Genomic DNA, 26,923 nt, shown 5'->3' with positions numbered 1-26,923 from the left:
TTGAGGTTTGGGGAAAGAAGAATTTGAGAGACTACCAGATTCAAATCTTTGGACCATAGTATAACTCTTCCTCATGACACTCAACACGGAATAAACTGTCTGATAGAAATAAAGGGAAAGGAGAAGGGAAATTTCACAAGAGAAATGTATCAGTTGATATTTCAAAAATAGCATCTCACTGTCTACAGAGATTATATATCTGGTAACTTTATAAATGTTTTACCTAAAATAACTTCTGGTATTAGTAGATGTAAGATCATATTATGAGAATAAATACAGTTAATTTTTATTTATTTAAAATTACATGTGAAAAATAAATATCTCAATTAAAAATTATTTTTTCTTTTATTGAGAATGCCATATTTCATTTGAGTAAATTATATTCAAATGAACATATTCAAATATATTAATTTGAATCAATTATATACTTTTAAGGAATTAGAAGCAATTCATATGATTATTATAATTTTCAAGTTCTCTATTTTAAAATAGATTTTGATTATAACATTTTCTTTTCTGCCCCCAAAGAGTTAATAAAATGGTAGAACCTTTCTTAACTAGAAGTAATTTCTCAAGAAATTCAAGTGTTTTCTTTTTTAGTTTTAGTACTTCATTGGATTGCTTTTGCCCTAAATGATTTTGTCTTTTCTGTAAAGCAGAAAAAACAACTATTGCCTTTCACCAGATAGCAGTTAACAATAATCTCAAGTTTTACATTTTTTTCCTTTAGAAAGATCTACATGTGGTTTAGAAATTCTGCTCCTTGGCCAAGCGCAGTGGCTCATGCCTGTAATCCCACCACTTTGGGAGGCCGAGGAGGGCGAATCACCTGAGGTCAGGAGTTCGAGACCCAGCCTGACCCCATATCTACTAAAAATACAAAAAAAATAGCCAGGCATGGTGGTGCATGCCTGTAATCCCAGCTACTCAGGAGGCTGAGGCAGGAGAATCGCTTGAACCCGGGAGGCAGAGGTTGCGGTGAGCCGAGATCGCGCCACTGCACTCCAGCCTGGGCAACAAGAGCGAAACTCCGTCTCAAAGAAAAAAAATAAAATAAAAAAATAAAAAATAAAAAAAAATAAATTCTGCTCCTTGAGAAGTAAATGTTCTGAAAAGAAAACCCTGACTCAATCAAATAAGTGTTACAAATAGATTTGTGATGGCCCTAGAAACATAATTTAAGAGTTGTGATAGTGAAAACAGGAAATACCTTACATGTATCATAATTGAAGAATGGTTAAATATTTTCATGTTTTAATATAATATTACTATATTCAATGATAGCTCAAGATATTTTTAAAAATAATACTGATTGTACTCATGTTATAAGGTTAAATGGAAGCAGCAAAAACAATTATTTAGGTACTAAATGAACATATAATTCCCCTGGCATAGATGATTGATAGAGTGAATGAGTATTATATGGTCTCAACTCTATTAAAATATTTATAGAACAATAGATTGGAATAACATGTAATAAATTATAAGTTTATATCTGATTATTTTTTCTTCTTTCTTCCACTAAGTTTTCAATTATTATTTTCTATCTTTAAAATATCAGCTGGGTCCAGCCATGGGGTCTCATGCCTGTAAGCACCTTGGGAGGCCGAGGTGAAAGGATGGCTTGAGTCAGGAGTTTAAGAACAGTCTGGACAGTACAGTGAGCCCTCATCTCTACTAAAATTTTTTTTAAAAAAGAAAGAAAAATTAGCTGGTCATGATGGTACATGCCTGTAGTCCCATCTACTTCAGAAGCTGAGGTGGGAGGATCACTAGATTAAGAGACCAAAATAACCTAAATTTTATATAAACTATTTAATAGTATAGAAAAAAAGTATATAAATAGTATATCCATACTCATTCATTTTGTTTAGTTATAATAATCTAATCAGTTTAACTTAGGTGTTTGATAATATGCTGTCTCCATGTTTTTAAACACTGTTCACAGTGTTAGCTACCATTAGCATGTAAGATATGACTGATTTTACCTTCATTTTACTTATTTTTCCCCCTTTAACTCTTGTTCTGTGTTAACTAAGAACAATTCTATTTGTGAATGGGAAAGAACTAAGAACATGGGGAAAATAAGATACTTAATATTTTCTACTTTTAATTTCATATTTAAGCATTAACCTATACTGATTGTTGGTTGGAACTGATAAATTTACTTAATGCAAAACATATTTATGCAAAGTTCTTTGAATTAGGATTTTTTTCTGTGAAATTCTAGTATATTGTGAAGCTTTTTTTTAGATCAAGTTTTATCTGTATGTTTGGCTACATAACTTAGTACTATTTAAAATTGCACGTTAGGAGTCTACTGCTTGATGCCAAAGTATTACCAGATTAACCAGAGTTCTGTTCAGTAAGTGCAATTATATCTTCACATACTTATTCTTGGCATACAATAGACTTTATAATATAAAGCAAATAGATCAACCCTAAATTATTTGTTTATTTTTTTCTGCATGCACACAGTATTACCCCATTTATATCTGACATACTATTGACAATTGTTTTGGTAAACATTATGTATGCATTACTTTACTTAAGTCCCCCAGAACTCATGTGATAAGTCTGTTGTCTCCATTTTAGAAACTGAGAGGATTTTTTTCTAAAAATCAAGTAGCTAGAATCAATAAATATGAAGATTTTATTTTATGTCTTATCTATGCCACAGTATTAACTACTTTGTCATAATGTTATTTGTAAAATCCAGCCAAAATGTTGGTATCCTCAGATTTCCATCTGTGGAAATTGATAGTTTAAACAGGTACACAAATTACATGCATTATATGTTTCTACCATCTACCATGATTCATTTAGGTGTAAAATATGGTTAATCTGACGAAATGGCATATGCTTCCCTTTATAATAGTTCACCTGTTTTGGTTTGAAAAATAGATGTTTAATAGAGATTGTAAGAATAATTATTTTACTATTAAAGTCTTGCTCTGTCCTTGCAAATTTTCATTTGCCTCTATGAAATGTCACAGGCTCATTTAATGGAATGAGACTCATTTCTAGATGTAATAAAATTCCTGGGTCATCAATAATTATATTGCAATAATTTGATATAATATCCCATATCATTCCCTAAATTCTGTGTTTGTAAAGAATTATTCATTTTGAATTTGAAAATTATGAATTTCCTTCATCAATCTATCCCCATTTTAGACATCAACTCAACTTTTAATTAAATGTGCCTTAAATTTTATTTGTAAAATGTTTATATTTAACTCATTTGAATGAATTTATTCAGCATCTTGTGCATCTGTATAAATGAACAATGCCAGAATTAGATCTGCTCTTAATACTAATAATACAAAGTGAAAAACAGGTAAATATCAAAATGAAGTTATTTTAAATGAATAATTTAAATATAAAAGAGTTAAGAGAATCCCTCTTCTGTGTGTCAGTGAACCCCCTTAATTCTCAAATATAGTTCAGTCTCTAAGGAATACAAATTGGTTTTCTATTTTAGAGCAAGCGTATTTGGACTTACAAAAAAATCCTATTTTGTTCATTAAAAGAGCATATTTCTAATTTGTTTTGGTGCATATTTAAAAAATCTGTTTGGGAAGAAAGCTGTTACAAATCATGTATGAATGAGGCCATCTGCAAAAATATGCATATAATGATCATAACTTACTAAAACAGGTTTAAAAACAAAAGCAACCTATAATCTGTTTTATGTTTCCAGTGATCCTTTTGTAATGATTAGAGAATTCTTATGTTTTTTCTCATTCATCCTTCTTGAATGTAGTCATAACCTCATTCATGACTTTTCTAAGTAACTATAAGAAAAATTTAATCTCATCAAATGATTTACCCTAAATTATAAGGTATTAGTAATCATGATATAAAAAGCTCTGTGAGAAATAAGAAAAAATTTGATTCAACATTTATTGGATATATTTTCTCTTTTAAAGTTAACACTAAAATGAATATTTGTTTCTAAAAATAATAGATTTATTCAGATTTACAAAAATCGAAAAAGTATGCATGAGACTAGACAACAGTATTATCTCTAATTTTAATTACCTGGTTGAAATGCAGAGTGATTTCTAATTACATGTTGTGGACATACTGTGAGATATTTTTAATAAATAAAAAGTCTCGACTTTCTACCCTTACACATTCTTAAAACAAAAGACATTTGTATTTTATTTTTCCTATTTGATCTATAATATTTTTACTCCTTAGGAATATGTGCAGCTTTGGATTCATGCCAATTTAATGCCACATGCATTGCCAATTTTGACTCATTATTTACTTAAAATGCTTTATGAATCTGTGGTAGACATCACAGAAAGCAAGCAGAAAACGACACAGCCTTGTCTATTCAGCATATACTCTTGTTGAGCTAATCAGCATCCACAAGATAATATAAAAAATATCAGTGCTAACCCCACTTTGGCTAAATATTAAAACATATGGCTCTCCAATTAATTGGCTGCATGGAATAACTGCACTCCAGGTGCCTGTCACAGAATATTCCTGAATCAGCCTCAGGTCAAATTTTTCTAAAGCTTGGCCAAAATAAATACCATGGCAGTTTGCTTGAAGGATGTTCAGTCCATTCATTCTTTTGATCCTCTTAAATGTACTCTGTGACTAAAACAGAACATCAGAGAGCCTATATACTATTACCTTGTCTGCCCTACCTCTGTGCCATTATAATTGCTTTTCATGGATTGAGCTTTGGCACTATACCATCAGCCTTTATTGAGGACATTTTCAGAAACATGGCCATGTATCAGGTCAGTAGGTGCTCTCTCTGAGGATCTATTTCTAGTTTCATACCAACATTAGTTTGGCTAACTAGTTTCAGTCAGTTATTATAAGAAAACATTCCAGTTTAGGAATGATTGGGAAATAAAATGGAAATGGTAATTGTAATATTCTTTCAATTTTATCAGTAGAAACTATTTTAAGTTTCATTCTTGATTTTATGCAGTACTCTAAGAATATTTCTAATTTGACATACATTGCCTACTCAAGGATAGTTTTCAAATCAAAATATAATCAGTGTTATCATTCAAAATAATATTCATTCAAATAACTAGGTTCCTAGCTCAACTTCAGAAGTAGCAAGAAGCAGGCATAGGCCTTAATAAAAGACAAGTTTTCCCAGGGATAGAGGCATGACTGTGTTATATTACACCCAAATTAAGAGAAAAATAGGCCTAAATGTTAGCTAAGTGAGCAAAGGATTTAGCAGAAAGCTGTGAAAAACAAATAAACAAAATAACGAAACAGGCAAGTTAAAGCTCATAGTACTGGACCTTGTCACGTGGTGAATGATGCACTTTTGTTCCTCAAGTTTATTACAATAATGACAGTGTCTCTGGAGTTATGCTCAAGATGTCTATTCTTAGGCCCTTGACCGCAATGCTTATTTTTCCCCCTTTTAAAATGAATCTTCTGCCTTCCATAACACACACACACACACACACACACACACACACACACACACAGACACCACATTTGAAATAAACTAAGGTGAATAGACAGTTTTGACAATACCATAAGAGAATTAAAATCTGTTTTGTAATAATTCAAGATAATAATTGTTAATGAGAGGTAATGATTGAATAATTAAAACAAATATGTTCCTTGGAATCTTAATATTTGAGAAGGGTACCATAAAAGTAGGTAACTCTTGGAAAGTGAAAGAAAATTTTTCACATTAAGAGTCCACCTTTGAAATGACTTGATTAGTTAAGTATTGAAATTAATTTCTTCACATAACTAAATTGTCTGTATTTGTTATAACCATAGTTAGATATTATGATTATAGATGAAAAATTATTCTAAAAGGCAACATTTTTTTCTCCTAGCTAGGATTTGAATCTAACAGCATTTTTTTAATATAGTTAAGTCCCAACAGAGTGTCAAATGAAGCTGAATTCAGCTCTTTCTCAAGGTGTCAGTTTTTCTAATTTATTTTCCTACTAACTGCCAGAATATATTCATGTTTTGAGGTTAGCCCTATTCAGTCTAGGATGATAACATCTTCACTTGTTCTTAGAATTGCTGCAGTGAGATTATCCTGACTTTCACACAGAATGTAAAAGAACATATAACTCAAATACATTTGGAAAAAATGATTCTTTTGAATTAAGCATTGATTATGTCCTTAGAAATACCGTTTTCTTCTTTCATTTTTGTGCCTTGTCCAAGACTTCATTCCCACCTGCTAACATGATGATACATTTTATAAACTCATGTTTTAAATAACTATATAATATATACATATATAAATATAAATAAATATAAAAACTTACCATTTTGGCTAATTATAAAATATAATTTTAGCTAGATCTGTAATATTTTTGCTAAGGCCATTTGTATATTATTTAATAAAATGTTAACATTTATAACATTCCTTTTCCCAAATTTCTAATTCTTAACAAATTAAATAGAATGTGCAATAAGTATTTTAATAAATTAAACATTAGCTATAATATTGTTTATTATGAAGTATATTTTATTAAATAAAGCCAGAGGGAACATATATATTTTTTAGAACCTTACACATTGGTTAATTGTCATAGAAAGATAGTTTTTCAAAACTGGATAGAGTGCTAATTATAAGTATAGGTTAAACCAAAAAAATTAAAAAATAGTTTTAGGATTGATTGCCTTAAAACTTAACAATATAGAGTGAATATAAAATGATATTTTGATTAATAAATTATATATTTATAAAAGGCAATTTTTTGTACTCAATGTGAATAAAGAGTAATTATGAGCCCATTTAAGATCATGTTTTAAAAATATAAATAAAAGCAATTTTAAAATATCTTAAATTTATAGACTGCTTTACAGTTTACTAGGTAACTTTTACCTCATTATTTTTCATAATACATCAGTGTTATTAGAGTAGGTGTTAATTTAATTTTCCCAATCACAGGTGAGAAAATTAAAATATAGATAAAAACTTTATATAAAATAAAATTACATTTAAAATTCTATTATTTCATTAACATTTTATATCTGAGCACCTCACTATGGGAGCATAAAGGTTAATTGTAAATCCTAACCCTGGGACAATGCAGACAGTAAATATTCTGAATTTCATAGATTGTACCAGAATATCAGTAATATCAAATTATATTAAAATATGACCAAAATGTTACGCATATATTAGACAGTATTAATTTTACCATAAAAGTAATGCATGTCTTAATGCTAAATAGCCAGTCTACCTTAATAATTATTCAATATACATTTATATTTGACATTTAAATCTAAATGTAAAATTTGTGTTTGCTTTTAAAAAAATCAATATTAAGTTTTAATATCTAAAGGTCTGTTTTTTATCTTGAATCACAAAATAAAGAGACTATTCTAGGAGATGAGGGAGAGCAAAGGCTTGCTTATTGAGCCTTCTCTGATGTTTCAGTCATGACCCCGCTTCTGTGCACATTTTCCTGTGGTTATAGTAAATACCCCGTCAAACTTGCCTTCAGTTTAGCATGCTCTGCTTTGACTGGTTAACACTGATTCTTCGTGGATCAACTCAGTTGTCACTTGCTTCTGAAAAGCCTTCCCTGAGTCTCATCCCCCACTCTATATGAGTTGGATCTTCATTGAGTTTGCAGAGCATTTTCTGCTAACTTTTATTATAAATATAGTGAGACAATTCATATTTTCTTTTTCTCTGCTAGGCCTTGGGGTTGCTGTGATAAGCAACCATGCTTCTAATCTCTATTAACATAACGCAATACAATATCTGGTGAAAATATGTGGAATAATGAATTAATTGAATGAATTATACAGTGTGATGTTTCAGTAGCTTCTTCAGGAATAAAGATTCCTGCAGTAGTTTCTACATATGCATTAACATACAGAGCACACAGGACATTCTCATGGCTTGCTTACTTTTAACCAATGTTTCCATTTTAAAAACCGGAGAAGAAGAAAGGTAGGTATAAGTATTAAGCCACATTCTACAATAACTAGTCTGTATGGTCTGATTATTTAATATTCTATTAGGAAAAAAAATGACACCTACAAATAAACTTCTACTTCAGAATCCAATGCTGTTCAAGGCAATATTGTAACATGAAGCTTGAGTTTAATTCTAGGACTTCTTTTCATTTACGTGCTTAGATGCTTATTCTTATTACGTAAAGATGAAGCAATGTAATATCCATCATAACTCCTTTTTTTAAGTATAGGCACATACCTAAATACAAGTAAAACAATTCTTATAGCCAATTATGCAGACTACCTGAGAAAAGTTGAAACAATTATTGCAAAGGTGACAGAAACAAAATTAAGGATTAAGAAAGAAATATTAATTTTTAGAGTACTCAGTTCCATTATAGAAAGAGACATCTGCCAACCTTTTTGACATATGTCATTTAGTCTCATTACTATATTTGGTGATATCGCCTGTCACTTTCTTGAAATTCTGATCTTTCTTCACTCAGATTTACTAAAAACTACTGGTTTTCCTTACACTTTTTGAATGATCCTGTTTAATATGCTTTGCTGGTTTCTTATTGAATGAATCTATTCTTCAAGATCTGCCTGCTGTTCTCTTCTTTTGCATATAATCTCTGGGTAATTCTACCTCTAACTCTGGCCTAAGTACCCTCTGTATTCTTTAAGATCTGAATCTTTTTTTTTTTTAATGGTCAGGTGAGTTTATCATTATATGTCCCTCCCACCCCCAGAATAGTACCCTATAGTTACGAAGTATGTTCATAATGAAGTTAATCTGTTGCCTATACTCTTTTTTAACACAACTATTTATTATGATTCAGTGGAGAAATATTATTTTTTATTATACTTTAAGTTCTTGGGTACATGTGCAGAACATGCAGTTTTATTACATAGGTCTTTAACTATAGACTCATCTCTGAGATCTGCTTACTAGCTTTGGCTATTGAGCAGAATATTACTTTTTAATTTCTATGTTTGAATTTTTTCATCTGTGTATTGAACATAATTATAGAAACTCCTGGGATTGTTGTGAGGATTCAATAAGATAAGCACATCTACAGGGTCTGATGCTCAACATATTCTAGCCTTCCCCCCAGAACCTGTTCCTCCTCTATTTGTAAATCATCACATTCTCTATAAATCAGGACATTTTTTTTCTTGGCAATGTCAGTTCCCTCATTCAGTTCTGCTGCTGCTGCCATAGTCATCTATACAAGCTTGTAACCTCCACAGTGCATCTGTCATTCCTTCAGGGTAAACTTATCCTCTTCAAATGCAAGTAGCCTAGGGAGGAAGTTCCATGCTAAATGGAAACCAGCTATGTGTTAAAAATGGGAATTCTATTTTAAATTCTATTTTTCAGCCAAGCCCACTGAGCACAATCAAAGGCTTGGAAAGCACTGTCAATTTTCTTTAGGGTACATTTCTTTATCATATTCTTTCCAAGATGACAGGCTCAATCATGCCACTTTCTAACTCAAAAATCTTTATTTGACTCAGCTGAACGTTTCAGGCAGTGAGACTCCAGCTGACTTCCCCCATGGAGCAATTTTATCTCATATGTTCCGGGAGCTTCAGAGCACCATGTATTCCCGGTGACACCACTCCTGCAATGGTGCTGACAGCAATATGGACAGGTGTGAAAATAAAGCATTCCACATGTTTCTGTCAAGACTTTCCTCTTTCTCTCTCTCGGCTCCTTCTCTTCTCCCCTGACTCATTCCAGGCCCCACATCCTCACTTTTCAGGAAACACTGAGCAGGTGTGAGGATGTGGGGAGAGGGAGAGTCTAGGTAATGAGGGTTGATTGGGATGTCTCAAGTATCTTCAGGTGACTGAGGCAAACAGAATGGACTATGTTCTAGGGTTAGTCTCAGTGGTCTTTCTAGAGAATGACAGTTGTAAGGATGTGAGGCTTGGGACCTGGTTGTTAGGATCCATCAGTAAATATCTCTTGTTCTTTAGCATTTAAAGAAATTAATTGAACTTAGGCCCTTTATTCAAAGTTGGGTTTATGTGAACTAGTATTCACTTTTGGTTGTTATGTGTCCATTAAACTATACTGTAGTTTTAGAATTACTAATGGTAATGTATTTGCTGCCTAACACACAGTATTTTTGCCAGTGTGACTTTCCATATTATTCAGTTTCCCTTTCTCAGTTCCAAATCACTACTTCCCATCCTTACTGGCTAAGACTGGAGACAAACAACACATGTGAAAGTTAAATCTATTTAAAATATCTATACTTTCTCAGATTGCTTCAATGGCCAATAAGTCTTCAGCCTTATATGGCTGTATCTACCTGTTTGCTGATAGAAACAAAATGCCAGCAAATATGCTGAGTGAAAGATTGGATTCTGAATGTTTAGAATGTATAATACACATTTTTGGCATACTGTTAGGAACCAGGTAGCAAAGCAAATAGTAAATATTTTATTTATGCATCAAAAAACTACTTTAAACCTCTTACTGCTTCTCTGAATTTACATTTTGATGTATGTTTGTATAGCTGTATTTACAATATTCTTCTAACTGAAGAATCATTAAATAAAATGCATCCATATGGTTGGTTATTATGTCATCAATAAAAATCATGTTTTCAAATTTAACGACATCAGAATATTCAATATAATTTTCCATGATCGTTTCAAATTTTTCAAATTTTTACCATGGACAGGCAGTACTTCTAGATTATTTATTTATTTATATGTTTTTGAAGAAACACAAACCAAGTTCAACCTCAATATATGAGACTTAGGATTCTGAAGTCTATAAACAGTTACAGGAAAAGGAATAACTTCTATAAATGAGTAACTTTAAAACAGATGCCAACAATCATGCCTTAACTGAAGAGCTAAGTCCTTCTTAAATATTGACTTAAAATTGGACTTTTTTCTATCCCTGCCAACTTCAGCCTAAATTCTATAACTGATATTTATCTTTTGCATATGAATTATACATTGTTTTCATTCTCCACCTAGCTTTTTACTTGTTTCTATTATCCTAGACCAAGAAAGATACTCATTTTGTGGAGTGTGTGTGTGTGTGTGTGTGTGTGTGTGTGTGTGTGTTTGTGTGTGTGTGTGTGTGTGTTTCTTGTTCCTGGAGCTTTGGTTCATTTTTCTTTGTTTTCCAAATCCAATTGGTCTGCCACAGCTCATAATAAATTTCACTTTATTAAGGTTTCCCTGGTGACTTCAGCCAATTAGTTGCTCTATTCCTGATTCTGATTTGATCATTCTTACCTTAACTGCATTATTTGACTAAATGAGGATGTAGACATGAATATGTATGTATATGTTGTATATTCATGCATATAATACATATGAATATATATTCATCGTATTTTTGCTAGTTCCTATATAATTACTTTGATTCTTCTAAGAGCAAAAATTATATATAGCACTTAGAACAATAGGAATATCATAGAAATTGTGTAATAATTATCTTATGAATGGATTTAAACAACTTCAGAGTCTCACAAAGATTTCTTAATACTGATTAGCCATTGGATGTCAAACAGAACAGGAGAATTTTTAAAAATGGACTCTCCAAATTTTTACAAATTTGTATCTTCCTGTTTGAATATTTAATAATCATATTTTTTTAACAATTAGCCCCATATTAATTGAGCAATCTGTAATTGCCCAGATTGTAGGATCTTTACAACATTTTTTTTTAATTTAAAACTTTCCTGGTGAAGAGAGTATACATTGGTGGCTCATAACCTGAGTTTCATACAGAGTTTTTGCCGGGGGGGTGGGGGTCTCTCTAATATTAAAAAAAAAATGACAGGTGAGTCATGAACTCTCATTTCTCATAATACCTATTTCTAGCTATGGTCTTATATATTTATGTTTATCTATTATTAGCAATACCTTGCAAATGGTACTAAAACTTTAATTTTAGGAAATACTTTGATTTTAAAAGATATATATGAAAAATGATACTCTGCAACTCTGACTCCAAAATCACAGGGAAACAAAAGACTAAGGTATCCAAACACACAGGCCAAAAATAAGCCCCTTAGTGTCATAATGATAAACATAATACTTAGGACAGTAGTTAACTCAAAGGAGGATATAAAGAAATGAGTTTGAAAGAAGCTTCAAAAGTAATGGTCATATTTCATTTCTTTAATTGGATCAATGGCTCATGGGTGTTCATTTTAAAGTTATTCTTTGTGCCCCACACTTGTTTAATAGATGAATTTTGGGCCAGGTGCAGTGGCTCACGCCTGTAATCCCAGCACTTTGGGAGGCCAAGGCAGGCAGATCACCTGAGGTCAGGAACTTGAGACCAGCCTGGCCAACATAGTGAAACCCCGACTCTACTGAAAATACAAAAAATTAGCTGGGTGTGGTGGTGGGCACCTGTAATCCCAACTACTCGGGAGGCTGAGGCAGGAGAATCGCTTGAACCTGGGAGGCAGAGGTTGTGTGAGCCAAGGTCACACCATTGCACCCCAGCCTGGGCAATAAGAGCAAAACTCCATCTCCAAAAATAAATAAATAAATAAATAAATAAATAAATAAATAAATAAATAAAAAAGATGAATTTTGCACTCAGGCAGTTTACTGAAAAAACAGAAAAAGGAAAAAAAAAGCACAGAACTATTCATATATTGTTCAAAAATATACAAAAGTAAATAATATAAAAAAGTGTGTAGTATTAAAACCATATCAAGGAACAAAGATCTAACAAAACAAAAATTAAAATAGTGGTTATTCTTGGAGGATATATAATAGGATGTTATTGAAAACAGGACCTGGGTGTGTCAAACCAATGTATTAGATAATATTGGCACTGTTCTGTTTCTTCAGTGGATAGTGGGTGAGTGTAAATATACACTCCTTTAAAAATTTTTTCGAATTTTTATTTTATATCTAATTTACAAATAATAATTTTAGTCCAAGTGTGGTGGCTCATACCTGTAATCCCAGAACTTTGGGAGGCAAATGCTGGAAGATGGCTTGGGCCCAGGAGTTTGAGACCAGGCAACGTAGCGAGATCCTATCTCTACAAAAATGATAAAAATGTTTCAAAAAGAAAAAATAAACAATTATAATTGTATATGTTTATGTGGTACAATATGATGTTTCAATAGATGTGAACATTGTGGAATGATCAAATCAGGCTAATTAACATACCAGTCATCTGACATGTCACAAATTATGTTGATGACTGAAATAGCTCACCATATTTTTTTTTTAGAAACTAAACCTTTGAAGTGACTATTTATGCATGTTACACTGATTGAAACAGTTCTTATTTCTCTTAAATTCCAGTAAAATGCACTTTCTTGGTCATGCAAGTTAATATCCAAAATAGTTTGTTAGAATTACTTTGCATACACACCAACAATCATGGATAAAAGTGTAAAAAATTATCATCCCTTGAATAACAAGTTGACTCAGCCTGACTGTATCACTTAGATTTTAATCAGAAAAGCAGAATGATTAGGAAGTTTAAAATATATATAATAAGAGATTTGGTATAGAGATTTGTTCATACACAGTTGTGAAAGCTGGTTAAGTGATTGCTGAAGATTGCTGGAGCTTAAGTCTGAAGGGCAGGCAGAGGAAGGAAAGAATTTAAAGTAGGGGAGAGGATGGACAAGCTGGAACCCATGAGGACAGGTCAGAATGCCTGTCCCTTCTCACTGAACTCCAAGCTAAATGCCTATGGACAAGCTGAAGGAGAATCTAGAGGAAAATAGATTAGCTGCATTCCTGCTTCCTATCCCAAGCCAAACAATAATTGACAACATGGGTAACCTTTAACAGCACCTAGTGACCCTGCTCAGATTCTCTGGGTATACAAAACCCAGTATGGCTACTGCTTTGCTTCTACTACCTGCCAAATCCCATACAAAATATTTCCTGTGATAAACTGTATTAGACAGTTTCACACTGCTATGAAGAACTGCCTGAGGCTGTGTAATTTATAAAACAAAGAAGTTTAATTGACTCACAGTTCCGCATGCCTGGGAATGCCTCAGGAAACTTACGGTCATGGCAGAAGGCAAAGGAGAATTTAGTACCTTCTTCACAAGGTGGTAGGAGAGAGAAAGTGCAGGGGAAACTGCCACTTTTAAACCATCAGGTCTCATGAGAACTTCCTCACTATCATGAGAACAGCATAGGGGAAACTGCCCCCATAATCCAATCACTTCCCACCAAGTCCCTCCCTCCACACGTGGGGATTACATTTTACAATGAGATTTGGTGGGGACACAGAGCCAAACAATACTGTACACTGTAACGGGAAACATTTAGGGCAAATGATTCTGGGAAACATAGTTCAACCTAGACAAGTTTACACCCTGCAGAATCGATATACTGATTCTTCCCTGCAAGAAGAGCTTACAGTATTGCACTGTGTTCTACCACATCACAGGAGGGCTTAACACCTAACCAATCTCTCCCACCACCAGTATCCATTCTGCATTATCTAGACAGTCTAGTGTGACCCACCTTCTATGCATTTCAGACTCCCTAGTCTGTGAAATTATTCTGTCTTTAAATATTATATCCAGAATGAGGCTTAAATTTATAAGTGAGGGGATTGATTTTTATCTTGTAACATGTTCTACAAATTTCATTTGGCTGCAGTGTGTTTTAAATGATCTGTCTTCCAAATGCATATTTCTTTGTAATCTTAACAAACATAAAATTTCCCTATAATGAAGTGCTTTAGATCTTTTAAATAAATTTTGTTTTAAAATTCAATTTTTCATTGCTTGTAGTGCTGACTAGTGACTAACTTAGGCTTAAGTCTAAGTTTTTTTGCTTTGATGTAATTATTCACACATGCAAAATCAGTATACAGATTTTATAATAAAGATATACCTGCTGGGCACGGTGGCTCACGCCTGTAATCCCAGCACTTTGGGAGGCTGAGGTGGGTGGATCACCAGGTCAGGAGATCGAGACAATCCTGGCTAATACGGTGAAACCCCGCCTCTACTAAAAATGCAAAAATTAGCAGGGCATGGTGGCGGGCACCTGTAGTCCCAGCTACTCCGGAGGCTGAGGCAGGAGAATGGCATGAACCCGTGAGATGGAGCTTGCAATGAGCCCAGATTGCACCACTGCACTCCAGCCTGGGCAACAGAGCAAGACTCTGTCTCTAAAAAAATAAAATAAAATAAAAAGATATACCAAAATACACCTCTATAAGAGCAGAGGGATGAGAACTGATTACATTTTAAAAATTAACTTGACGCACATAAAACATAAATGATATATTTTTAAAACTATTGATTATTTTTATACCACACTTATAATACATAAATAGCTATCAGCCTAAAACCTAGTACACTAGAAAAATTAATCACAAAAAATGCTATGAACCCATAGATAAGCCTTTCTTCTAAGTCTTATATTTCCGCTAAAGTTAGCTAAAATCAATGCATTAAGTTGTATGATTACCCATAAGTTTAGCGCATCATTGGTTACCAGTGAGAAATCAGCTGTGCCTTTGGAGTTGTCCTTTATACACACACTGGTAGATGATCAGTTAATCTAATAACTCTGATTAAACTCAGATCAGGTAGTCTACTCAGTTGAGAATCACACAGTGGCGTGATCTCAACTCACTGCCACCTCCAGCTCCTGGGTTCAAATGATTCTCCTGCCTCAACCTCCTAAGTAGCTGAGATTACAGGTGCCCATCACCACACCTGGCTAATTTTGTACATTCAGTAGAAATGGGGTTTCACCATTTTGGCCAGGCTGGTCTCAAACTCCTGACCTCAAGAGATCTACCCACCTCGGTCTCCCAAAGTGCTAGGATTACAGATGTGAGCCACTGCACCCAGCCATATATATCTTGTAAAAGAAAACTAAGCATATGATTTTCTTCAGATCTGTTAAAATTGTGTTAATGTAATAATTCACAGATATTTAAATTAGAGCAAGTTTTCATTTATGTGTTATTTATGTAATAGTATTGAAAACATCGAAAATTCAGAGATCATTAGTTTCAGAAAAAAGTATATGAATTTTGATAAGAAAGCAACCAGAATCATGGTTCTGGTTTAGTAAAAATTAACACAAAAAGAGTATCAATCAAGAGTATGAAATCATATTCTACACACAGTTTTAATATCTGGTTGTAATATACATAATTTTAGTTGGCATGTTGCTATTTATGGAAATATCTGTTAATGTATTTTACATTATACAGAAACCTACATTGCAAGTTTTTTTTTTTTAATCTGCCTTCTGCTGAATGCAAGTTTCTAATGAGGGAAACAAAGAGACTTCATTTGTTATACAGAAGTGTGAGGTCTTGCAGAAATAAGCATGCAGGTAAGAGATGGGTAGGCATGACCACTAATCACCTTTTACCTAGGAATGATAACTCTAGTACAAGTTTCTAACAGTACCTGTATTGTATTAGGTTGTATTTATATTCTTCAATTCAGCAATTCAACTGGAAATTAGTATTTTATGTTGACTATTTTTATTTCTCAACACTGTATTCATATACATATTTATGTTCTAATATAATTTGATATAATCTTATGTCTATATATGAGGAAGAACCTCAATCATTCAATTATGTATTTTGAACATGAATTATTCTGGTGTCAGTGGTTTTAAAAGAAACAAAATATGAATGAAGCTGCACAGCCTCGGTAAAAGAATATAATGATAAAAGGACCTGACACACATTTCATTTATTTTTTGAAGGGACGGAGTAAGCATAGAAGTATCTCAAATTCATCATTATGCATACTTATAAACTGCAGTCTCAGGACTGATTATAGATTTCTAATGTCCTGATCTTGTAGTCTGAACAATCGATTGTGTAGTCTGGAAAAAGAATGTGTCAACTGTGAATTCAATCCTTCTCCCTTTTGTAGATGTCATAAAGGGAATGAATTTATAACTAAAAAAAAAATTATCAGAATGTCACATTGAATTGTAAAAATGCGTGGATCTGAGTTGAATAGAACACCATATTGCCGAGATTGTAAATAACATTGATAAAAATGACAAGTTACGGGTAACATTGCTCCCCAATTGGTGTATTTGTCAATAAGTAAAAAGGAGAATTCTAAGCAGTTTATTACTGTAATTATTTCTCTTTTTAAATTTTACCCCAAATGATAAGCAAATAAATAGATAAACGAAAACCAGTGTAAAATTTGTGTTGAGTCAAAAGCTTCATAGTGGGCAGGGAACTTGATGTAATAGTACCAATCTCCTTGATTGCTTGGATTTCTTTACAGAATTTTGAGACATGACCTACCCAGTCTTTGACTACATACTTCTATGGGTGGAAATGATACAAGCTTCCTAATCACTTCACTTGACCTTTAATGAAATTTAATTTTAAGGTAGTGTTTGGAAGATTTCTCCAACACAAATATGAATGTTCACGTAGGTTTTGTGACCACCATTTCCTTACCATTTTAAGTCTAAAAGCAAACTTTCAACCTGTTCAACCTGCTGCAAGTCTTACTATTATGCTTTGGAAAAGATCCTTAGAAAAATAAATAGGCAGCCCTGAAGTTCTGAGATTCTCCTTAATGGGATTGTTGCTATAGTTACAGCTGAAATGTTATATAAAGCAAATTGCTTATTGATGGAAAAATGCTGAGTGGCACAGTAGCATCCCTTCTCTGGGTTTTTATTGCCTTCATTTTCTACTTTCCTTCTTAAGATGAATGGATTTTTTGAACACTGTTTTGTTTTGAACAAGCTCTCGTGAATTGATGTTAAAATAAATGTGTTTTATTAACATGTACTAGCTGACAATTGAATAAATTTGAGTATTTTCTGATCAGTATGGTGTTATTTTACATATTCTACTTGTCAGAATGTTTCCTACTTAGAGATGAATTTTGATACCCTGATTATTAATGTTATAGCACTGAATAAACGGTGATTGGTCTCATAATTTGGAGGCCTCTGAGTTTGTTTATATTTAATGATAACATAGATGAAACATAAACTTTTATTGCTTTATACCATTAGATGATACTTATAATAGCATAGTCAAAATATATTTAAAAATCACCGGAAAAAAAATGGAAGCAGTCTTAAAGCATCCACAAGGATGATTAGCATGTTTTTTTAAAGCCTCCTTAAGCATCTATATTTTGTAATTTTTTATGTAGTAAACTCAGTAATACAATAGAGATGTTCTCAGTACATATATATATATATATATATGGTTGGTACAAAAGTAATTGTGGCTTTTTCCATTACTTTTTCCATTAAAAGTAATAAACAAATTTGAATTGGAGAAATGTTGCAAACAGCACCTTAAAATGAAATTTTATCATATATATCTATACGATATCATATATCATATCATATATATTATATATTATATATTATATAACATGATATATATTATATGATTATATAGATAGATCTATATCTATACACATATAGAATGAAATTTTATTATATATATAAAATTTGATATAATAGACCACCAGCAGTTTTATGTGTGTGTATTACAGATGTATACACACACACACATATATATACACACACACATACACATAAAACTGCTGGTTGTCTTACTATATTTATAAGAAGATATTTCAAAGATAAAACTATAACTCATTTGATACTTAACCTTAAGGCAAAATATGAATAATCATGCGTATCACAATTCTAACTGTTCCAGGAAGAGTTAATGCTATATCTGGCTAAATCTTTTCAGCAAGTAAAAGTCATACATGGCATTGATACATTGAGTTGTTACGTAAGTGAAATAATTTTGTTTAATTGATTTCCAGGTTGCTACTGGACCAGAAACAATATGAAAATGTCATGGTGTGGCTATTTAGGAACTAAGAGTATAGATAACATCTTTTGGAACTATAAATACAATATTTCTTAATTAAATTCCTGAATACACTGATACAAAAATCTTTGGATTATTTTTGTTAAAGAATGAAAAAAAATTGTGACCTACAGATGTTTAGGTTATAGAGTATTTCCAAAATTTTGGGAGAAGCAAATTTTTCTGGTCAGTTTGTTTATAATTGATGATGATATGATAATGATGATGACCCATATTGTCCAAAATAAACTTTCTTGGAAATTTACTGTTATTTCTTTTTACTCACTGTGAAAAACCTGATCAATTTTTCTTTTCTCATTTCCTCTTTGTATTTTACCTAGATTCTGTATTTTCCTCCAATGATACTCCTATGCTCCCCCTTAATAAACAAAATTTGAATTTATATATCTAAAGAAATGTAAAATTTTTGGTGTTACTCTAGGGCTTTGTTCTCTTTCAACTCTTATTGACATTATAACTTCCTCTGCTTGCTGAATTTGTTGACATTTTATTTTTGGTTCTAGGGCTGCAGAAAAGAGAAGAGACACATATGAGACCACCAGTTTAGCATTTCTGATTGTTGAAAAACATACTCTTTTGTGGCTTATAATTTATCAAATTCCTTATGTTTCAAACTAAATTCCTCAGATAATCTTGTTGTATTCATTCCATCCTTTCCATTTCCTCTAATAGTTTCTTTCTGCCTCTAGATTTAATTTTTACCAACATAGGTAGGTAACCACATTCTGCCGGCCTGATCTTAAAGAAGCAGATTTTACTCCTTTACAGAAACCTTCACTGGATTACAGTTTCTTCTACAAAATGTCTAGTTATGGCAATAAGTGTCATTTATTTGGGAATAATTGCCACCTAAGAGAGAATCTCAACTTGCCTCTTCAACTTTATCTTCCATTACCTTACAGCTAAGCAACATGTTTATTGTTTAATTTTTACCTAGATTTGGTCAAATCTAGTGTTTTTAATCATTGCCTTTTTGCAGGCATATGTTATATGATTTTTGCTGTGCCTCATCTCTTAACTTAATCATTGAATTTCAATGTGAATGAAATAAGGCCTTAGCCTGATGTTGTATTTACATTTTGACTGATTGCTATCGAATCTGAATAGATATTTTCATTTCATATTTCTATTATGTCAAATAGTGACAAGACATATTTTTGGGAAAATAGATTTATTTCACATTCACAATTTATTAACATATCTATTTTAAGGCCAAACCTTCTTGGAAAATATCTAACTAGAAGTGGTATCTCTCTCTTCTGCATTGCAACACAATATCTCCGTCTCTTTGTTTTTACTGCATATTTAACTTATTTTCACCCATGCTTTATTTCTTCTACTTGAATGTTGGTCCCTTGATGAAATAACCTTTGCATATGCACTTTCCAACCAATAGATATAAACCAAATAGATACATACAGAATAGATATATGAATGAATTATTTTGTCATTATTTGACGTAATAGAAATATCAGCTCCAAATTAATTTTGGTGACAATTAGTCAGAGTGTAAGTTCAGAAGAATTAGGCTGGCTGCCTTCTTTCATTCACAATGAAAATTAGTCATGCACCCAAGAGACTGGGTATAGCAACATTATGTTAAAAATAATTGCAAAATAGCAATTATTTAAAATGCTAGGTTTAACTGAACATGGATGGCAATTTAAGCAAAACATTAATTTGAAATAGCCAATGAGGCTCTCAGGATAAGATCTTTTATTGCTCAGATTTACACTATTGCCTTCTGTTTGCATTACAAACCTTAGTAGTTTAATGGTTATCACCACTTTATAGGTTTACCAAGCATTACTTTAAATTGGGACAATGAAATATTTTATGTGACAAAATAGATTACATAGATGATACCTTTTATCCTCATACCTAAATTTCAAATTATAGGAAAATAATGAGTATACTACCTTGAAATTATTGCTATGTTTTATTTTCTCAACACATTTTTCTTGTGCCAAGAGCCATGTACCATTGTGGCCTCATATGCTGTAAAGTAGCAAGAGATGGCAATTTTTTAAGAATAATTTGTCCCTGTCCCAACATCTCAGATAGAATAGTCTCACTTCTTTAAATGACAAAAATTTCCAATGGCATGAAACCTATATTTCTGGTATATTAAAATTTTCTAACTTATTTATATTAGAACATAGCCTATGGAGATGCTTAATACCCACCTGTATTTCGTTTTTAGAATCCATGTGGCAAATCAGCACGGTAATGCAGCCATTCGTATCTGTTTTTGTGTTTTAAAAAGTCAGGCTCTGGGGCTGGGCGCAGTGGCTCATGCCTGTAATCCCAGCACTTTGGGAGGCCAAGACAGGCAGATCACAAGGTCAGGAGATCTAGACCAATCCTAGGTAACATGGTGAAACCCCGTCTCTACTAAAAATGCAAAAAATAGCTGGGTATGGTGGCGTGTACCTGTAATCCCAGCTACTCAGGAGACTGAGGCAGGAGAATTTCTTGAACCCGGGCGGCAGAGATTGCAGTGAACCAAGATCAAGCCACTGCACTCCAGCCTGGTGACAAAGTGAGACTCCATCTCAAAAAAAAAAAAAAAAAAAAAGTCAGACTCTGAATGAAAATCTCTTAAGATGTGGTTCAACCAAGTAATAGTTTTTAAAACCATGTTATAGATTAAGATTGATTTTCTGTAGGTATTATGGAAGTTCTTCCTTCAGGGACTGTTCAACACAAGAGCTAGAACTTTTAGCATTTGACATAATGAATCAAATCTTCTTTCCAATGACTTTTATATAAAAACATTAATTAAAGAAGGCACACAATTCACTTCAGAGCTCCTTAGACATGAAATTAACAAGAGAATTGATATTGAGTGATTATATACACAAAAAGCAAATGAATCCATATATATCCTAATATTTTATTGGCAGCATTTTACCACATTTACAGAATTGACTTTTGTCTTTACTCTTTTAGATCAGCAAATAAGAATTATAATGGCTTACAGATTGCAAAATAATCATAGTTATTAAGCAACATTGTTAGTTTCTAAAGTAATTGGAACCTGAAGTAAGAAATGAAACTTAGATATCTTTTAGTATTCTAGAGCAATAAGTGATTTTTTTATCTAAATACTTTAAGATAAGCAACTAGAAAGAGTGAGCCAGCATGAAAAGCAATTTGAAACTGAACTTCTCAGAGCACAATGTAATGCATGAAAGCAATATTATTTGTATGACACTCTAACCCTGTGCCTTACAGAATGGGTACACATTCAGTGGTAACAATTAGAACTACATACACAGCCTTTACTTTTTAACATTAGAATAGATATAATGTAAGAAAAAATGCAACACACATCAATCAGGGAGGAATTCTTTAATAGTATTATTCTAACATAATTTGTCTCCTAGGTGATCATTTGTTCTATATTCTTATCAGAGAGTAGTTTTTAGTATTTACTTTGCAAAAATTCTCAACCAGTTTATCAAAAAGGCAGGTCCTCCTGTTTCCTCTCCCAGGATTCTGCTAAAATGGTTTTTGGTGTAGTTCCTAGGAATTTGTATGTCTAAAGACCCTATTAGTTGATTTAGTGCGGGTGACCATGGCTTAGACACTGAAGAGCAGCAATATAAGAAAATGTTTGGCCAAGCACAGTAGCTCATGTCTCTAATCCCAGCATTTTGGGAGGCCAAGGTGGGCGGATCACCTGAGGTCGGGAGTTCAAGACCAGCCTGACCAACATGGAGAAACCCCATCTCTACTAAAAATAAAAAATTAGCCGGGCATGGGTGGCGCGTGCCTGAATCCCAGGTACTCAGGAGGCTGAGGCAGGAGAATCGCTTGAACCCAGGAGGTGGAGGTTGCAGCGAGCCGAGATCGCACCATTGCACCCCAGCCTGGGCAAAAAAAAAAAAAAAAAGAAAAGAAGAAAGAAAATGTTTTAGTCAGCAAATCAGGACACTCAGGGAAAAAGATACCAAATAATTGAGACTTGGAGTGCTTCTTATTCAACTGCATGAGGTAATGTGATTAGTATTAAGAATGAGATTATGTTCATAATCTGGAAGCAGAGGATTATGCACAAGTGATTCTTGAAAACTGTCTATACCTATAAAGCTCTACTCTGAAAGGTAGAACTATATTTGGCCCAAGTCAAGAGATAGGAGATAATAGGCTAAATCCTAAAAGAACTTTTGATTAATTGGTTATTATAAAGATAATTATTATGAAATATAATAGTCTTTGAATAAATTTTGGATGAAAATACTAATTTTGAAGAAGCCAGGCCTTAAAATAATTTTATTTGGAACAAATGCAGATTTTTTTTCTTCCTGAAAATGAATATTTCTCTGGGTCCACGTTTAATGTAATTATTTCTCTTTCTTTTTCTCATTTAATGAAGATAGTGAATTGCTAGTCTCTAGAAATTCTATACAGTTTTACAGTTCAAATAGCCTTTTTGTAATGTTTTAAAAAATTACTGCGTCATTGGATTTGGAAAACAGTGACCCACCTTCTCCATGTACAAAAACAGCAGATAGGAATTGCCAAATTTTCACTTTGGTAAAATCACAGAAACAGATACATTATAATACATTCAATCTGTTCATTGTAATTTTTTTCCCACAGATTCAAGAATGGCTTTGTTTAAATTGCCAAACCCAGAGAGCAATATCAGGACAGCTTGGAGACATACGCAAAATGCCACCTGCACCATCAGGACCCAAAGCATCTCCTATGCCTGTTCCTACAGAATCATCATCTCAGAAAACAGCAGTGCCTCCCCAAGTAAAATTAGTGAAAAAGCAAGAACAAGAAGTAAAAACGGAAGCTGAAAAAGTCATTCTGGAAAAAGTAAAGGAAACACTATCAATGGAAAAAATTCCTCCTATGGTAACCACAGATCAAAAACAAGAAGAGAGTAAACTAGAGAAAGACAAAGCTTCAGCTCTTCAAGAAAAAAAGCCACTCCCTGAAGAAAAAAAACTAATCCCTGAAGAAGAAAAGATACGTTCTGAAGAAAAAAAGCCACTCCTAGAAGAAAAAAAGCCAACCCCTGAAGACAAAAAGCTACTCCCAGAGGCAAAAACATCAGCCCCAGAAGAACAGAAACATGACTTACTTAAATCTCAAGTACAAATTGCTGAAGAAAAGCTTGAAGGCAGAGTGGCTCCAAAGACAGTGCAAGAAGGGAAACAACCACAGACCAAGATGGAAGGTTTACCATCTGGCACACCTCAGAGTTTACCTAAAGAAGATGATAAGACAACCAAAACAATAAAAGAACAGCCACAGCCACCATGCACAGCAAAACCTGATCAGGTGGAACCTGGGAAAGAAAAAACAGTAAGTTAAATTTTACTAACTTCTCACACTCTCATGTGTGAAATTACTAATTTTTAACCTAAGTATACAAGTTGCTCAATGGTAATTATATAAGTGAAGTTCCTCAAACAATGAATGACATTCTTAAAGAAGTATAACACTTGTTTGACTATAATGAAGAACTTTGGTCTTTTCACAGCTTTATGAAGTTTACATAAAGCATAAATACCACATTTATTTCCCTGTTTCTTATGCCTATCAAATAATCTATCAAAATCATATGGAGTGATAAAGAAGTTATCTAGTTTTATTTATTTTCTCTACTATGGATATAAAAATCAATATCCCCCTTTAACATAAAGTAATGTGTCTTTATGTAAGTTTCTGTTTACTTAACCATTTGTTTACGTAAGAGTCAACAAGGTTTTATTTAATGTGTGGTCAGCCATAAAGTGATTGCAAAAAAAAAAAAAAAGAAAGAAAGAAAAAAGAAAAAAGGAAAAAAAAATGACGTAACTAAAATCCAAAGCAAAAGTCATTCTAAAATTTCACAAAGCAGTTTAATATTTAGCATGATTTTTAATATAATGTATCTGTTAGCAGTTTTATTCAATGTGTTTAATATTGAAAGGTTATTTATAATCAGCATAATTTGGAAAAATATTCTTTTCTTTTTCTTTAATGGAAAATTTTCATTTAACCCATTTTAACCAGTATTTTCACAAGCAGTTACATCCTTTTCAGTGGAACTCTGATATTTTTTGGAGCTGTAAGAGATCTTACATTATACTTAATTGAATATGTTTAATTCACAGAGGACAGCAATGACTTACCAGGAAATTAAATAATTTAATAGTGTTAAAATTCCAACTAGAAACTATAGTTTGTTTCACTGTGATTCAATTGTGTTTTCTTTACAGTTTTAACACATGCTTACCAACCCATCTCTGCTATCTGATGCATCACACATTGTCTAAGTAAATCCTGGTCTCCTTTCATTAAATGAGTTTGATCAGAGTCAAAAAGATGCCTATATATAGTCTCCATTCTAATGACTGAATCTAGCCACCGCCACCACCACCAATTGCTTCTTCCAGCTAACCTTTGCAGAGCTTGATGCTTGGTACTGTTTGTCCCTTTGTGAAACTTTCTGTGGCTTTCATGGCCCTCTACTTTCCTTCTCTTTTTGTCTTTCTGATCATACTTTATGAAATCTACTTTGACTATCTCTATGATTTATCTTTGCAAAGTCCAGATGATTTTCCTTGTTTTGTTTTGAGTTCTGTCTTTGTTCCTCCTATGGGAGCTACATGAACAATTTTTGAATCCACTTATGTACCTCTTGTCCCTCTTTTGAGTGTCAGACCTGCATTTTCAAGTACCTAGTCAGTAGTTCTACTTCAAAGCCTCTCTGTAAATGCAAACTCAATATGTCTGACTCTTTTCCACTTCTCTGTAGAAACAGTTTCTGCTTGTAACTTTCTGTTTCACCATCAAGCACCTGTCTCCTGTCTCCCAGTTACTCATCTTCTGAGTGATTTCAGGTCTCTTCTTACCTGTCCTTTGTTCTCCACAATGAAGGTATCACACTTCTGTCTATTAACTCCTGTTCCTCAGGGCACTACCTTACTTACTGCTTTCATGACCTTTTGCCAATTATTTGAGCAATCTAATTACTGGTTAGAATGCCTTCCTTTTCTCCCTTCTCCAGTCTATAGCTGTCAGGTAAATGTTTTCTAGGGTTCAGATAATTGAACTCCATCACTCAGATGTTCCTAATGATTCCCTATTGTGTTTTAAATATATTCCAAACAAGAAGTTTTCAAATATTTTCCTGAATGCAGTACTTTTTTCCTTTATTTTATAACTTTTTCACTTTCTTTTTATTATACTTTTTCTTTCGTTATACAACCTCAATATGTGTATATGTATTTATAAATTTTATGTATGCACTATTTTACTAATATTTACCTTATAAAACATTCACAAAGAATAGAGAATAACTCAGTGACATAAACTAAAATTACCATTGTTATTATATTTATTTAAATGCAGATAGTAAATACAGATACATTTGATCACCTTAAAAGGTGTTTAATAATGATATTTTAGAGAGAGCACTGATTATGTTTTAATATTTTTTAAGATCTTGGTGTACAATTTTATGATACAGTTATTTGAAATCCAGCTTCAAAGTTAAGCTTATTTTGATGCTTGGATGTTCAGTTTTAATGGCTATTCAGAGCAGGAAAAAAAGATAATTAAAAAGTACATGCTAGAAATGAAAGAAGTAGCTCACAGTTTGTTCTCACTATGTATTGCTACCTTTTTTTTTAAGTGTGGATTGGAAACCAATTATGAAAAAAAGAATTGGCAATCGCACAAATAAGTGTTAACCTTCCTTAATACCAATCATTTGTGTTTGTTAACTATCAGAAAATGTGGGGATTTTAAAATACTTTTTCAACAAATGATTTTAAAACCCATTGCATTTCTTTGTCTAGAAGGTTTTTAAACAGATTAAAATATTCTGTTTTAAAGTTTGTTAAATAAGCAGACATGATAACTTTTCAAAGTGACATTATTTTGTATAGCATAATCATATGATAATTTCCAAATATTTATCTTCAAAGAGCTGTTTCCACATTATAATTTTCTCAAAGAAACAGGTATTGTTTATTTTGCTTTAAATATATAATACCCAGCATATTGCTGACAACTAGTGTTTATTTTCTTGCTATCTAATAAGTATTGTATTACTGAAAAACACTTGCAATCCTCTATTTTTAAGAAAGGATCAAATCTTCACATTCTGCAGCTTTTTAA

The 26,923-nt window shown here is 32.6% G+C and overlaps 1 protein-coding gene across 7 annotated transcripts in view; it reads left to right on the top strand.

Annotated features, from left to right (window-relative positions):
• Positions 1 to 26,923, top strand: part of PCLO (piccolo presynaptic cytomatrix protein) — a 408,873-nt gene that overhangs the window by 172,996 nt on the left and 208,954 nt on the right. For all 7 annotated transcript variants that reach the window (XM_017012006.3, XM_047420211.1, NM_033026.6 and 4 more), the window contains exon 4: positions 23,402 to 24,118. In XM_017012006.3, the coding sequence (XP_016867495.1) occupies positions 23,402 to 24,118 (717 nt within the window). The remainder of the gene's footprint in view (positions 1 to 23,401; positions 24,119 to 26,923) is intronic.

This window comes from Homo sapiens, chromosome 7 (genome assembly GCF_000001405.40).
Source record: "Homo sapiens chromosome 7, GRCh38.p14 Primary Assembly".
Taxonomy (NCBI): domain Eukaryota; kingdom Metazoa; phylum Chordata; class Mammalia; order Primates; family Hominidae; genus Homo; species Homo sapiens.
This window is presented reverse-complemented; position numbering and strand designations above follow the sequence as displayed.